A 14,438-nucleotide genomic window follows, 5' to 3' on the forward strand; every position below is an offset into this window, starting at 1 on the left:
CTTTATGTATAAATATCATGCAGGTGCTACCTGCCAGCATAATATACACTTAGGGCAAATTTCATTGTACTTCAAATTATCTTCTTGGTAATTTTTAATAGATTTTGCTAACTCCTTGGTAACTTTTATTACAAGGTAAAACAAAACTGATGAAAGTGGCTGACATACCGGGGACGTGAGCAGAACGGCTTGGCCACTTCCTTAACATGGCCCCGGGTTCACCCGCTAGTCCGGAACTACAGTTTCTCTGCCACAGTGTCTGCGCCTGTCCACTTGCAGGCATTAATTTTGGTGAATATGAAGAGAGTTAATATAACCAGTGTGTCCTCTTCTCCATGGCAGCGCCCAGGGACAGACCTGCAGTGACCACCACCTGCCCCTCTCTGCCAGGCCCAACCACGGGCTTTCTTCTCAGAGCTGAGCTGATGTGGCCGTCTGGCTGACTAGGAGGGGCCCGGGGTCAGCCTGGAGGGGGGGTATTTGTAAAGCTTAATTTCTCTTTTTTTTTTTTTTTAGGTAAAATCACAGTTTATCCCTGCACCTTCATAGATTATGTTGCTCGTCTTAGAGACCACCAGGCAGCGAATGGAGTCAAGCCCTTGCGCTCTCCGAGAGTCCTGCCCTGACTACAGGACTAGTTTCTCCCATTCTTTCCTTCTCCAGGATAAAGTTCCTCATTCCTGTCTTTTAGTGAGCAGTATGGTTTAGGTGGACAGAGATTCCTTTGGTGCAGTTTTTTTCAAGGAGGTGATGTTATTTTTTCCTTCCCAGGTCTTGAGGGGACATTCAAAGCAGGCAGAGAGGGGTTGGGATGGCTCCAGATGGCTGGGAGGGAGAACACCAGCTGGTCACGCAGCCCCTCGTGCCAGTGCGCATCAGGTACAGTGTGGAGGCGGGAAAGGGACAAAAAGACGGCAGTCTCTTCCCTGAGCCTATGCCAACCCAGCCTTAAAGCCAGTGGATCGAATCAAGCCATTTGTGGCATTATCTATTGCTGCGTACGAACTTAGCCTGGCACAATGCCTGTAATCCCAGCTACTCGGGAAGTTGAGGCAGGAGAATCGCTTGAGCCTGGGAGGCAGAGGTTGCAGTGAGCCGAGATGGTGTCACTGCACTCCAGCCTGGGTGACAGAGCAAGGCCTTGTCTCAAAAAGAAAAAAAAAAAAAAAAAAGAATTATACACCACTCAGTTTTAGGAGGGGCAGAACACGGGGAGAGCCCTACAGGATCAGAGGGGCAACCAACAAGCTGTTTCAGAAGGCATGGGGCAGCTCAGCAACCATAAGTTATGCGTGGGCTTTGCTCTCGGGAGAGAGGTTTCCTGCAGCCGAAGGACTCACAGCTAATCTGGGTCAGGAGCGGCTGCCGGCTCCCCCACTCCTGGAGATGAGCGACTCTGTGACGTCACGGGAGGCGCGGGCGGAGCGCCGGGGAAGCGAAGTAGGCAGGGGCGAGGCGGCTGGGGACCGCGGGGCGGACGGGAGCGAGTATGTCCGCTCTGACTCGGCTGGCGTCTTTCGCTCGCGTTGGAGGCCGCCTTTTCAGAAGCGGCTGCGCACGGACTGCTGGAGATGGTGGAGTCCGTCAGTGAGTGTGGGGCTGGGGATGGGGGCCTCGCCGGCCTGTAGCGGACAGCGCGGGTCCCTGGGACGCTCTCACCTTGACTGGGGCGCCTGAAGAGGCCGCGTCCCGAGGCATGCTGGGACCTGTAGTCCGCGTGTCTCCTGAAGCCGCGACTCGAGGAGAGGGACCCCGCTGGCCGGAGGGAGAGGGAGAGACTTCGCTGGGCAGATGGGACACCGTGTGCAGGGCCGTCATGGTAGTAGGGGCCGCCTGCCCTCGGGAGACGCACGCGTGAATGCGGAGCGGGCTGAGCCAGTCGGCGCCGGCGCGGGCGGTCCAGGCGGAGGAAGCAGCGTGCGCGGCGGGTGTGGACGCTCCTGGAGCGAGGCGGGGGGCGGCGGCGGTGAGGCCTAGGGAGGGCGCGGTCCAGGGTCCCGGTGCCTGGCTGCGGAATTTAGGGTAGAGTCTGTTCGGCAGCCTTTAATCGGAGACGTCACGTGGCCGCTTTTTAATGCTGAAAAATCACTCTGGCTGCAGGGAGTGGAGGCTGTCGCCCAGAGAGAGCGCCGTCGGGTGAGAGGAGCAGAAAGCCGGAAGCCAACGCTGGGGCAGCCGTGGCGTTTAGGAGAGTGACAGGCAGAGCCGCCCGCGAGGTGGCCCGAGACGCAGACCGGAGGGCGGAGGGCTGGGGGTGCGAGGTAGGGAGCGGGTGCGAGGTAGGGAGCAGCTGCCGAAGCCGAGTTAGTGGTGTGCAGAGATTCCGTAAGAGCAGGACTGGAAAAGAGTCATGGATGATTCCAGGTCCCTTAGATCATCAGCTACACTTTACCAAGAGGCAGTGTGGGGTCGTGATTCCAAGCGGGATTCTGGCCGCACAGTGGCTGGGTTCAAATCCCACCTCTGCCACACTCCAGCTGTGGGACCTTGGAAAAGTTTCTTATTCTCTTAATGCCTCAGTTTCCTCACCCATTTGGCGTCCATTTGCAAGGAACTAAATGAGTTACTGTTATCTAAAGCGTGTTTGTGTGTTTTAGGAGATGGGGTCTAACTCTGTCAGGCAGGCTGGAGTGCAGTGGCGCGATCCTAGCTCACTGCAGCCTCTAACTCCTGGGCTCAAGTGATTCTCCAGCCTCGGCCTCCCAAAGTGTTGGGAATACAGGCGAGCCACTGCGCTTGGTCTCACTAAAGTGTTTAAAACAATTGCTGGTGCCTGCTAAGGACCGTACAAGTATTCTTTAACTGTTGTTGTTATTAAGGAACTGAGGCCCAGGAAATGAAAGGAGTGACTTGCCTGAAGTCCCACATGGATGAAGAATCTGGAGCTGGGGCAGGTGTGGGGTGGGCAGAAGGCAAAGCCCTGTGTGACTTGGGCAAAGACAGTGATGGAGAGCCATGAGCGACAGCCCTTGGTCCTGCATGAGGAGATGGGGGAATGCCGATCTTCCCTGAGGTGCTGGCTTGTTCGTAACACACACTTGTTTCAGAGTGTGTGATAATTAAGTGCATAAATGTTTATGGAGCATCTTCTATATGGCTGCTCCTTTCTAGGTGCTGAGGATATAGCAGAATACGAGAGAGAATGAAGTGTACATTCTGGAGAGGAGAGACCAGTAGAAAAGAAAGACCTTTTTTGAGTACTGTTAAGGGTTATGAAGAGAATACAGCTGGGGATTAATATGGAGAATGCGTGGTGTGGGAGTAGAAGGGATATTGTATTTGGGGATGGCGTGGGAATGCCTGGGAGTGTGATTTGAAGCGGGACCTGAGGGATGAGAAGTCAGCCATGCAGAGACCTCAAGGGAAGAGCCCGGTGGACATAAGAGGGCAGAGGAGGCATCAGGTGGAGAGGCCAGAGCCCGCAGGGTTGGCAGGAGGCCAGGCTGGAGTGGAGCGTAGGGGAAGAGTGGGAGAGACCAGGTCACAGGGACAAGTGTGGGGGCCGGATTAGAGGGGGCTTTGGAGGACTCGGAATTTTATTCTAAGAATCACAGGGAGCCATTGGAGTTTTAAAGCAGGAAAGTAATGTGGTCTGATTTATTTTTTAAAAATGTAACTTTGTCCAGGCGCGGTGGCTCACACCTGTAATCCCAGCACTTTGAGAGGCTGAGGCGGGCGGATCACCTGAGGTCAGGAGTTCGAGACCAGCCTGGCCAACACGGTGAAACCCCATCTCTACTAAAAACACAAAAATTAGCTGGGCATGGTAGTGTGCGCCTGTAATCCCAGCTACTGGGGAGGCTGAGGCAGGAGAATTGCTTGAGCCCAGGAGGCAGAGGTTGCAGTGAGCCGAGATCGTGCCACTGCATTCCAGCCTGGGTGACAGAGTGAGACCCCGTCTCAAAAAAATAAAAATAAAAATGTAACTAATAGAGTTATGGTGCATTTTTGTTTTTAAACTTGACTCTCAAACATTTGAAGTTGGAACAGCCATTATTTCCTTGGATGTTGTTTCTTCCCCATTCTCTTTCCTTCTTACAGGACTTGCTGATAGTGTCTTACTTCCTTATGTTTTTTGATCTTGAGCTTGTTTTCCCTGGAATTTCTTTGAGATCGTGCTTCTCTTAGTCTCTTGAGGGTGCCACCCCAATTCAGGCTCACATTAAATTCTCGGCTTGGGGTTTTTGGTCCACACAGGTCCAACGCAGGTAATGTGAATTTGGGTGCAAATCTACCTGAGGACTGGCTTCTGATAACAAATTCTTGTTCCCTTGTCCATGGAAGGTTTATTTCTTGTTCACCCTTTTACCATATGGGGTTGCAGCTTTATTCAGTGACCTCGTCATTAGCCTTCCCACCTTGGGTGGGCCCCAGGCTGCGTCTCTTTCCCCACACCTCATGTAGCTATCCTGGTGGAGGTTCAAGGGCTCCCGGTGAAGGCAGCTTCAGTGATTGATTGCTTAGCTTCCAGGCCTTGTTTTTACTTGAATTTTGCTCTTGGTGGATTCCTTCCTTTTGTGCCTGGTCAGTGATGTTTGTAAAAATCTTAAAAATCTCATCTAGCAGCAGAGTTGTTAATTTGGAGGGTTGTTCAGGGTATCTAGTTTGCCACAATGCAGTTCACAACCTGGTTTGGAACATAACATTGTGAATTAGGTGTTGAGTCTTTGCATTCCTTAATCATGGCAATCCTTGTCATTGTTCCTGTGATATAATTGCAGACTTTCAAATCTTTGTTCCAAAAGGTTTCCATTTTGCAGTCCCTACTTCAGGTTATGATTAAAACAACATGTCACTCTAGCAATAACGAAGCGTGGGGAGCTGCTAAGATGGGTTTGAACTATAATGCTGGCATCGGCATTACTCAGATCTTTTTTGTTTTTTTGATACAGAATTTCGCTCTTGTTGCCCAGGCTGGAGTGCAATGGCACGATCTCAGCTCACCACATCCTCTGTCTCCCAGGTTCAAGTGATTCTCCTGCTTCAGCCTCCTGAGTAGCTGGGATTACATGCATGTACCACCATGCCCAGCTAATTTTGTATTTTTAGTAGAGACGAGGTTTTTCCACGTTGGTCAGGGTGGTCTCGAACTCCCGACCTCAGGTGATCCGCCTGCCTCGGCCTCCCAAAATGCTGGGATTACAGGCATAAGCCACCGTGTCCGGCCTTCAAATCTTGTTTTAATCAGTTTTACTGCTGGGCACTTATACCTAGATTGTATCAAAAAGCTATCAAAGAAGAAGGCTCTTGGCCGGGCACAGTGTGGCTCACGCCTATAATCCCAGCACTTTGGGAGGTCAGGGCAGGCGGATCACCTGAGGTCAGGAGTTCGAGACCAGCCTGGCCAACATAACGAATCCCTGTATCTACTAAAAATACAAAAATTAGCCGGGCATGGTGGCACATGCCTGTAATCCCAGCTACTCGGGAGGCTGAGGCAGGAGAATTGCTCGAACTGGGAGGCAGAGGTTGCAGTGAGCCAAGATTGTGTCACTGCACTCCAGCCTGGGTGACAGAGTGCGACTCCGTCTCAAAAAAAAAAAAAAGCTCTTGTTATACTATATTGAATGATCCTGCATGGTTTATTTACATAATGTAATATCTATATGCACAGCTAGATCCTGAATGAATAATATAATTGGTATATGAGGACATTACGGAAACAGTATGCTACGTCATTCAAGTTGTAAAGTGGCGATATTTGGTAGGACCTTTTAAACATGATACTTAAAAAAGTACATATATACACACATCTGCAAAAACTAAAAATCACCTTATTCATAATTAGTTATTAATACCTTAAATAGAGCATTCCAAATAAAAGTGTTAAATTTTGGATGACTATTTAGAAAAAAAAATGGAATTTATCATTTCAATATGGTAACATTGGTTTTATCATGCTGGTTGGAATTCTAGTTAAAAGTTATGTCTTTGATTAATAAAAGGAGAAAATTGTTAATGGTGTGTGTCTGTAGGCAACAGCTTAGGCTTTGCCATCACACAGCATCTCACTGGTAAATCATTAATAATTACAGGCCTTATCATAACATTATGAAAATTAAATGAATTAAAACTTATAAAATGCTTAGTGTGGTATCTGGCACATGGTAAACACTCAATAACTACCAGTCATCTTTTAGAGTGGGGGAGGATAAAAACAGTCTGCCAGCCTGGCAACATAGGGAAACCCTGTCTCTACAAAAAAAATATAAAAATTAGCCAGGTCTGGGGGTGTACACTTGTATGTAATCCCAGCTACTTGGGAGGGAGGCTGAGGCAGGAGGATTGCTTGAGCCCAGGAGGTGCTCAGTCAGCAGAAGGATCGCTTGAGCTAAGGTCACGCCACTGCACTCTAGCCTGGGCGACAGAGCCTATCTTTAAAAAAACAAACAAAACAGCCGGGCACGTGGCTCACGCCTGTAATCCCAGCACTTTGGGAGGCCAAGGTGGGTGGATCACCTAAGGTCAGGAGTTCGAGACCAGTCTGGCCAACACGGGGAAACCCCGTCTCTACTAAAAAAAAAACAAAAATTAGCTGGGCATGGTGGCGTACACCTGTAGTCCCAGCTACTTGGGAGGCTGAGGCAGGAGGATCGCTTGAACCCAGGAGGCGGAGGTTGCAGTGAGCCAAGATTGTTCCATTGCACTCCAGCCTGGGTGACAGAGTGAGACTCTCGCAAACAAACAAACAAAGAAAACAAACAGTCCTAGCTAACATGTATCAAGAACCACTGCCCTGTTACTGTTCACGAATCTGTGCATTATGAAGACAAGATATTTTAATGCACTTTTCCTACAGGTACGAATTTCTGTGCTACATAAAAGAGAATATGGTTTACAAGCTGATTCTTATCTAGATGAAATTGGTAAACATATTTTATATAGGAATTCTCTTAAAAATTTTTTATCCACTTCTGTTTATTAGCATATATATGGCTGATGAATAGGTTTTAGGAATAGCCCCAGTAGGTGCAAATAATTTAAATTAGATGCAACGTATAATATTTATACTCCAACTGAATAAATTGACTATAACTCTTATGGACTCTGTGCCACAACTTGTCAAGTGTCTGAATGAAAAGAAGAAAAAAGAAACACGTATTCAAACTTACTGTTTAAAGTTCTTTGTTCAGAGCCATTAGCATATTTAATAGGATTTGCGAGTCCTCTCTCCCATATGGTTGTCTTTTAATAAAGATTGTAATAGGCAGAGGACATAATTTGCCTCAAATAGATAGCTAAACAAAGCAAAATTAATTTATTTTTCTGAGTAAGTTAGTGACCTGCTAACAAGTTCACAGTCCCTTAACTAAAACCTTTGGGGCTAGCACCCCAGAATCAACACATTCAAATTTCTAGTGCAAAATAATGAATCTTCACTAATTGAAAACCAAAATTAGCCTCTTGTCAGTTTTGGTCAGTTTTTGCTGCTACACATGAAGCAAGCTTAGTAAAAAGTGAGTATTTCAAGGGATTGTGAACTTCTGTCTATATTTCAGTGGAGATGAGAAACATTAGCGTTGGTTCTAGGATGTAACTCAGAGGAGTTTTGGATGACTTAACGCTTTGAGAATGTAGCACGCTGTCTGCCATGTTGTTTTGTCTTGCAGTGCCGGTGGTGGTGTGCACATTGAGCCCCGGTATAGACAGTTCCCCCAGCTGACCAGATCCCAGGTGTTCCAGAGCGAGTTCTTCAGCGGACTCATGTGGTTCTGGATTCTCTGGCGCTTTTGGCATGACTCAGAAGAGGTGCTGGTAAGTGCAGGAGAAGAGCACTTGTCGTTTTTTGGGTGGGGGAGGGAGGATGTATTAATAGCTTGTTTATTTTTCTGTTGTAGACCATTTTTCTGTCTGGACATCGCCCTTTGCCACCACTTTTTCCATATGTATATACAAGAATCCTGTTATTTAATGAAACATGTTATCTTCTCACCTTTTTTTACACGAGGATGTATATTTAGGTGGTCCGTTTCTTATGGTTTCTGTTAGGTTGCCATCTTAGGGAGACTAAAAGCTCATTTTTTTTTTTTTTTTTTTTGAGACACAGTTTCACTCTGTCACCAGGCAGGAGTGCAGTGGCACAATCTCGGCTCGCTGCAACCTCTGCATCCCGGGTTCAAGTGACTCTGGTGCCTCAGTCCCTTGAGTAGCTGGGACTACAGGTGTGCACCCCCACGCCGGCTAATTTTTTTTGTTGTTAGTAGAGACGGGGTTTCACCATGTTGGTCAGGCTGCTCTCAAACTCCTGACCTCAAGTGATCCACCTGACTCAGCCTCCCAGAGTGCTGGGATCACAGGCGTGAGCCACCGCGCCTGGCCAGAAATGAATTCTTTTACCTTCTGAACTAGCGGTTCATTGGTAGGTTAGGTTTCACACTTAAATTCCTTTAAATGATGAATGTCTTCTGGTCTGTCCAGAGGCCCAGGGCAGCCAGGTTTGGGTGGGATGGATGTGAGTTAATTTGTCTTGAGAAGGGAAGTTAGTTTTAGTGATTTTCTATTTTATTTATTTATTTTTGAGATGGAGTCTCACTCTGTCACCCAGGCTGGAGTGCAGTGGTGCGATCTTGGCTCACTGCAAGCTCCGCCTCCTGGGTTCACGCCATTCTCTTGCCTCAGCCTCCCAAGTAGCTGGGACTGCAGGTGCCCGCCACCACTCCCGGCTAATTTTTTATATTTTTAGTAGAGACGGGGTTTCACCGTGTTAGCCAGGATGGTCTCGATCTCCTGACCTCATGATCCACCTGCCTTGGCCTCCCAAAGTGCTGGGATTACAGGCGTGAGCCACTGCGCCCGGCCAGTTTTAGTGATTTTCTAACATATCATTAGCCTCAACTGAGGTTTTACCACATTTGCAGACCGTTCTTTGGGAAATTACGTCTTTAAGACATTGAAATCTGTGCTTGTTTATCCAGGATACTTTGAGTTGTAGTAAATTTGGGTTTGTTTCCAGGATAGGAAAAAAATCTTAAGCAGTATGTAAGTTTTAGAAGCATCAGGTTGCTTCATATCCCATTTCTCTTAGAACTTCTCTGTGCCGTTGTCCTTCAGTAAGGAGCTGCCTGGGTGTCTGTGAACTGTCCACACATTTACTATTTGAGGTGCCCCTGCCTCACTGTAGGTCAGCTGTCCGGAGTATGTACAGTATGTATAGCTGTTAGGCCTGAGATGATGATGATGCAGCCAGATAAGCCCTTAGATCAGGATTGGAGATGAGGAAGTCCACCTGAGGCTTCTCCATTTCACAGCAGTAATGTTAGGAGAGTTGGAAACATATTTTGCCAGGACTTTGCCAGGATGTCAGGAACCTTTGAAACCTATTGCCTCCACTTCCCCCTACCCTCCCTCTATCACAGACACGTACCATTGGCTTAGGCTGGTACCTCCAAATGGGGAGGCTTTTAAAATTCAGACCAGAGCCCATATAATGAACAAACTAAAGAACAGGTGGGCCATCGAATAATTAAAGTAGAATTTGTTCCTGTGGTCAGGGGCTGAGCCATATTGTTTTTTTTTTTTTCTTTCCAAGATTTATTTAACAATTTAATTAGTTGCACAGAATGTAAATTCTTGACTTTTCTTTCTTTTAAATGGTTGTCACCAGGGTCACTTTCCGTATCCTGATCCTTCCCAGTGGACAGATGAAGAATTAGGTATCCCTCCTGATGATGAAGACTGAAGGTGTAGACTCAGCCTCACTCTGTACAAGTGGGTGTGCTCCAAATTTCTTTATGTCATATTTACCTTTTTTCATAAACATTAGTTTTTACTTTGTGCCTATGATGGACTTGAAAAAACTGCATATTCTAACAGCATGAAGTTGAGTTAACCATGTCCTGTATCTGCTTTTTTTTTTTTTTTTGAGACAGAGTCTTGCTCTGTCGCCCAGACTGGAGTGCAGTGGCGTGATCTGGGCTCACTGCAACCTCTGCCTTCCAGGTTCAAGTGATTCTCCTTCCTCAGCCTCCTGAGTAGCTGGGATTATAGGCACATGCTACCACACTTGGCTAATTTTTGTATTTTTAGTAGAGGCAGAGTTTTGCCACGTTGGCCAGGCTGGTCTCGAACTTCTGACCTCAAGTGATCTGCCCACCTCAGACTCCCAAAGTGCTAGGATTACAGGTGTGAGCCACCACGCCTGGCCATGTATCTGATTTCTGCCTTAAGTTTTCACATTTGCTTTGGTCTCTTCTTCCTTTTCATTGTATGTTTTATTTTATTTACATTTTTTATTTTGTAGAGACAGGGTGTCACTATGTTGCCCAGGCTGGTCTTGAACTCCTGGGCTCAAATGATTCTCCTGCCTCTGCCTCCCAAAGTGCTGGGATTACAGGCATGTGCCACCACACCTGGCCCATTGTATAATAAAAAAAAATTTTTTTCCTAAGTTAGGTTATAATTTTAGGGTTTCATTTATCCATCCACTGATCAAAGATATATTAAGACCAATTCTGTGCCAAGCACAGGCCTACAGTGGTGAACAGGACAGATGGAGCTTACAGTACGTAGCTGCAAAACTACAGTGTCCTGCTCTCAACATTTAAATAGATCCAGCATATGGGAGTATTACTATATAGAACTATATGAAAACTAACTCTTTAAACAGTAAAGGGTTATGGCTTTTTCATTTTCCAGGTCAGGAAGTCAAGAATTTTTCTTCTTTAAAAAGGGAGGTACTAAGAAGGTTCCCTTTCCTCATAAACCCCTAGGGGTTAATATGTTTTTATTTAACATGCTTTTATTTTATATTTTATTTTATTTTATTTTATTTTAGTTTGTTATGTTATGTTATGTTATGTTATGTTTTATGTTATGTTATGTTATGTTATGTTATGTTATGTTATGTTATGTTATTTGAGACAGGGTCTCATTCTGTCATCCAGACTGGAGTGCAGCGTGATCATGGCTCACTGTAACCCCAACCTCCTGAGCTCAAGTGATTCTCCCGCCTCAGCCTTCTCAGTAGCTGGGACTACTACTCTTGGCTAATTTTTGTATATTTTGTAGAGATGAGGTTTTGCCATGTTGCCCAGGCTGATCTCAAATTCTTGGACTCAAGTGATCCACCTCTTGGCTTCCCAAAGTGTTGGGATTACAGGTGTGAGCCAGTGTACCTGGCCAACAAATTTGTTTTAATGACTGGACTGTAAACCCTTGAGAGAGGAAGGGTGATTTTGCTTCTCTTGTCTACAAGGCTGTCACATGATCAGTGCTCAATAAATACTTGAATAATTGAATAAATGAATTATGGATTTGAATTAGTGAATATAAAAGTACTTAAAGCTTTCTACTTTTGTTTTCCTGCAGGAGCCAGGTGAGAATTTCAAGGATTATCGACTTCATATTGCACATTAAAGTTACAAATTAAAGTGGCTTGGTCAAGAATGAGAATGGAGTTGTGGATCTTTTTTTTGGGGGGGGGTGGGGTGGTGGAGAGGTGGTGGGAGGGGGGCGGGGGACAAATCTCACTCTGTCACCCAGGCTTGAGTTCCGTGGTGTGATCTCGGCTCACTGCAGCCTCCACCTCCTGGGTTCAAGCAATTCTCCTGTCTCAGCCTCCCAAGTAGCTGAGACTACAGGCGCCTGCCACCATGCCTGGCTAATTTTTGTATTTTTAGTAGAGATGGGGTTTCACCATATTGGTCAGGCTGTGTCAAACTCCTGACCTCAGGTGATTCACCCGCCTCGGCCTCCCAAAGTGCTGGGATTACAAGTGTGAGCCACCTCACCCGGCCTGGATCTTTCTGATAAAGGCAACTACCCTTTATGGATTATTATTTTTTCCAACTCCCGCGCTTAGTGGTTTAGTGCCCTTTCAGCCGATCCTCTTAGGTACCCCATTGACATAGACAGGCATTAGCTCCATTTATCAATGAAGACTGCAAGGTTCACAGAGATGAAGTTACTTGCTTAGCATCACAGGCTGGTAGGCAGCGAGATGAGGACTCCAGAGCTCACCCTTAGCTGCAGGGCTGTGCCGCCACCACCTCAGCTGGTGTCTTAGCTGTGTGTCGGCACTTCCTGTGAAAACTCTTGCCCTTTGTCCACTGCACTGGATTCTTGCCCTGAGTACACAGAGGTTAGAGGTCAGTGCAGTCGATTTATGAAGTAGCTCCTGTGGACTGGGCAGTTGTGTTGAGGGGCCGTTGTGCAACTCTTAAGGCATACTTCTTTTTTTTTTAGTTTTTATCTCAAGTTTTAATGAACAATTAGAAGACAAGTAGTTTGACCTTTATGACTAAGTTTCAATATATTCTTACAGTTTTTATATATTTAATATAGGTTTAGAAGCATTTTTTACATAAAAATATTCACAAATAACATTTCTAATTATCATTTAAGTAATAAATATTCTAAAACATATATTTAAACTAAATAGTGGAAATGCAACACAGTTATGAGTATTCTTATATAAAAGTTAAGCTCTAATAAATGGAACCAGAGAAAGTTGTATAGGAAAACAATATTTTCCCAACCGACATTAGTTTAGAAACTAATGTTGATTCTTAAGGTATTAAATGATTTCTGAGTCATATAATTGGCAAATTGTCTGTGGCATGGTGTGCCATAACCATTATCACTTGTTAATGTGTAAAAATATTTTAAATTGGCAAATAAAAAGCATTAAATGCTTTCTTGAATATTTCATTTTTTGCCACTTCAACCATAAAATTTATATAATAAAATATTTACAGAAAATGTTATTGTCAATTATATGAAATATTAGAAAATGACAAACAACATGTTAGACTTAGTGGTACAGAGTAGATTGCAATGTAATTCCTGATAACTCTAACCATGTCAATTGGACAGGTCCACAATAGTAGAAAAGGATTTTTAATTGAGCAGTATTAAAATATTTACTATCTTGGAGACTAGGATCATTTCTTTTTAATCAGGACTAATTCATTAGCAAAACTTTTAAAAAGTATTAATGTGGCAACTTTCCAAGTTACAGTTTTCATATATGTCTTATGAATGTTCCTGAGCCCTTTTCATATTTTATTTTCACAGTGTATTTCCTTGCTCATAATCTTCTCCCCAGGGATGGGAGCACCATTCTTGTAAGACAAATTCTGTGATTATTCCTCTTGAAAAATCTATTATTTTTAGTCCTGACACAGAGCAGGTACTCAAATGTTTGCTGAATGCATGAGCAAATCCAGCTTTATCTGCTCTTGTCTATAAAGGAAACCTTTTCAATATAGTAACTGGGGTTATTCATATTTTTTAAAGCTCTGATATGCTAATAATTCCACTCCAATGACACATATTACATTAAATTGCAAATATATTTCAAAATACTGTTAACCACAAAGCTTTATCAAATATCCTTCCTACTACTTTTTTTTTTTTTTAAATTTTATTATTATTATACTTTAAGTTCTAGGGTACATGTGCACAACGTGCAGGTTTGTTACATATGTATACATGTGCCATGTTGCTGTGCTGCACCCATTAACTCGTCATTTACATTAGGTATATCTCCTAATGCTATCCCTCCCCCCTTCCCCCACCCCACAACAGGCCCCAGTGTATGACGTTCCCCGTCCTGTGTCCATGTGTTCTCACTGTTCAATTCCCACCTATGAGTGAGAACATGTGGTGTTTGGTTTTTTGTCCTTGTGATAGTTTGCTGAGAATGATGGTTTCCAGTTTCATCCATGTCCCTACAAAGGACATGAACTCATCATTTTTTATGGCTGCATAGTATTCCATGCTGTATATGTGCCACATTTTCTTAATCCAGTCTGTTGTTGTTGGACATTTAGGTTGGTTCCAAGTCTTTGCTATTGTGAATAGTGCCGCTGTAAACATACGTATGCATGTGTCTTTATAGCAGCATGATTTATAATCCTTTGGGTATATACCCAGTAATGGGATGGCTGGGTCAAATGGTATTTCTAGTTCTAGATCCCTGAGGAATCGCCACACTGACTTCCACAATGGTTGAACTAGTTTACAGTCCCACCAACAGTGTAAAAGTGTTCCTATTTCTCCACATCCTCTCCAGCACCTGTTGTTTCCTGACTTTTTAATGATGGCCATTCTAACTGGTGTGAGATGGTATCTCATTGTGGTTTTGATTTGCATTTCTGTGATGGCCAGTGATGATGAGCATTTTTTCATGTGTTTTTTGGCTGCATAAATGTCTTCTTTTGAGAAGTGTTATGTTCATATCCTTTGCCCACTTTTTGATGGGGTTGTTTGTTTTTTTCTTGTAAATTTGTTTGAGTTCATTGTAGATTCTGGATATTAGCCCTTTGTCAGATGAGTAGGTTACAAAAATTTCCTCCCATTCTGTAGGTTGCCTGTTCACTCTGATGGTAGTTTCTTTTGCTGTGCAGAAGCTCTTTAGTTTAGTTAGATCCCATTTGTCAATTTTGGCTTTTGTTGCCATTGCTTTTGGTGTTTTAGACATGAAGTCCTTGCCCATG

General features: G+C 44.6%; 1 protein-coding gene and 1 long non-coding RNA gene across 2 annotated transcripts, besides 1 other annotated feature; one reads left to right on the forward strand and one right to left on the reverse strand.

The window, feature by feature from the left end:
• Positions 1-80: 80 nt before the first annotated feature.
• Positions 81-1,822, reverse strand: NDUFB2-AS1 (NDUFB2 antisense RNA 1). Its single transcript, NR_024454.1, has 2 exons — positions 1,660-1,822; positions 81-1,565 (listed from the first exon to the last, which is right to left on the reverse strand). It is a non-coding gene; the product is annotated as an NDUFB2 antisense RNA 1 (long non-coding RNA).
• NDUFB2 (NADH:ubiquinone oxidoreductase subunit B2) lies at positions 1,453-11,388 on the forward strand. Its single transcript, NM_004546.3, has 4 exons — positions 1,453-1,587; positions 7,611-7,755; positions 9,605-9,708; positions 11,308-11,388. The coding sequence occupies exons 1-3, from the start codon at positions 1,490-1,492 to the stop codon at positions 9,677-9,679; spliced, it is 318 nt and encodes a 105-aa protein (NP_004537.1). The 5' UTR covers positions 1,453-1,489; the 3' UTR covers positions 9,680-9,708; positions 11,308-11,388.
• Positions 1,462-1,771: an enhancer, noted in NCBI's record as "active region_26784". NCBI's record gives its function as "activates an Ori minimal core promoter by ATAC-STARR-seq in GM12878 lymphoblastoid cells {active_cell/tissue: GM12878}" and the evidence as "EXISTENCE:reporter gene assay evidence [ECO:0000049][PMID:35858748]".
• Positions 11,389-14,438: the final 3,050 nt, after the last annotated feature.

This window comes from Homo sapiens, chromosome 7, assembly GCF_000001405.40.
Source record: "Homo sapiens chromosome 7, GRCh38.p14 Primary Assembly".
In the NCBI taxonomy this organism is placed as follows: Eukaryota; Metazoa; Chordata; class Mammalia; order Primates; family Hominidae; genus Homo; species Homo sapiens.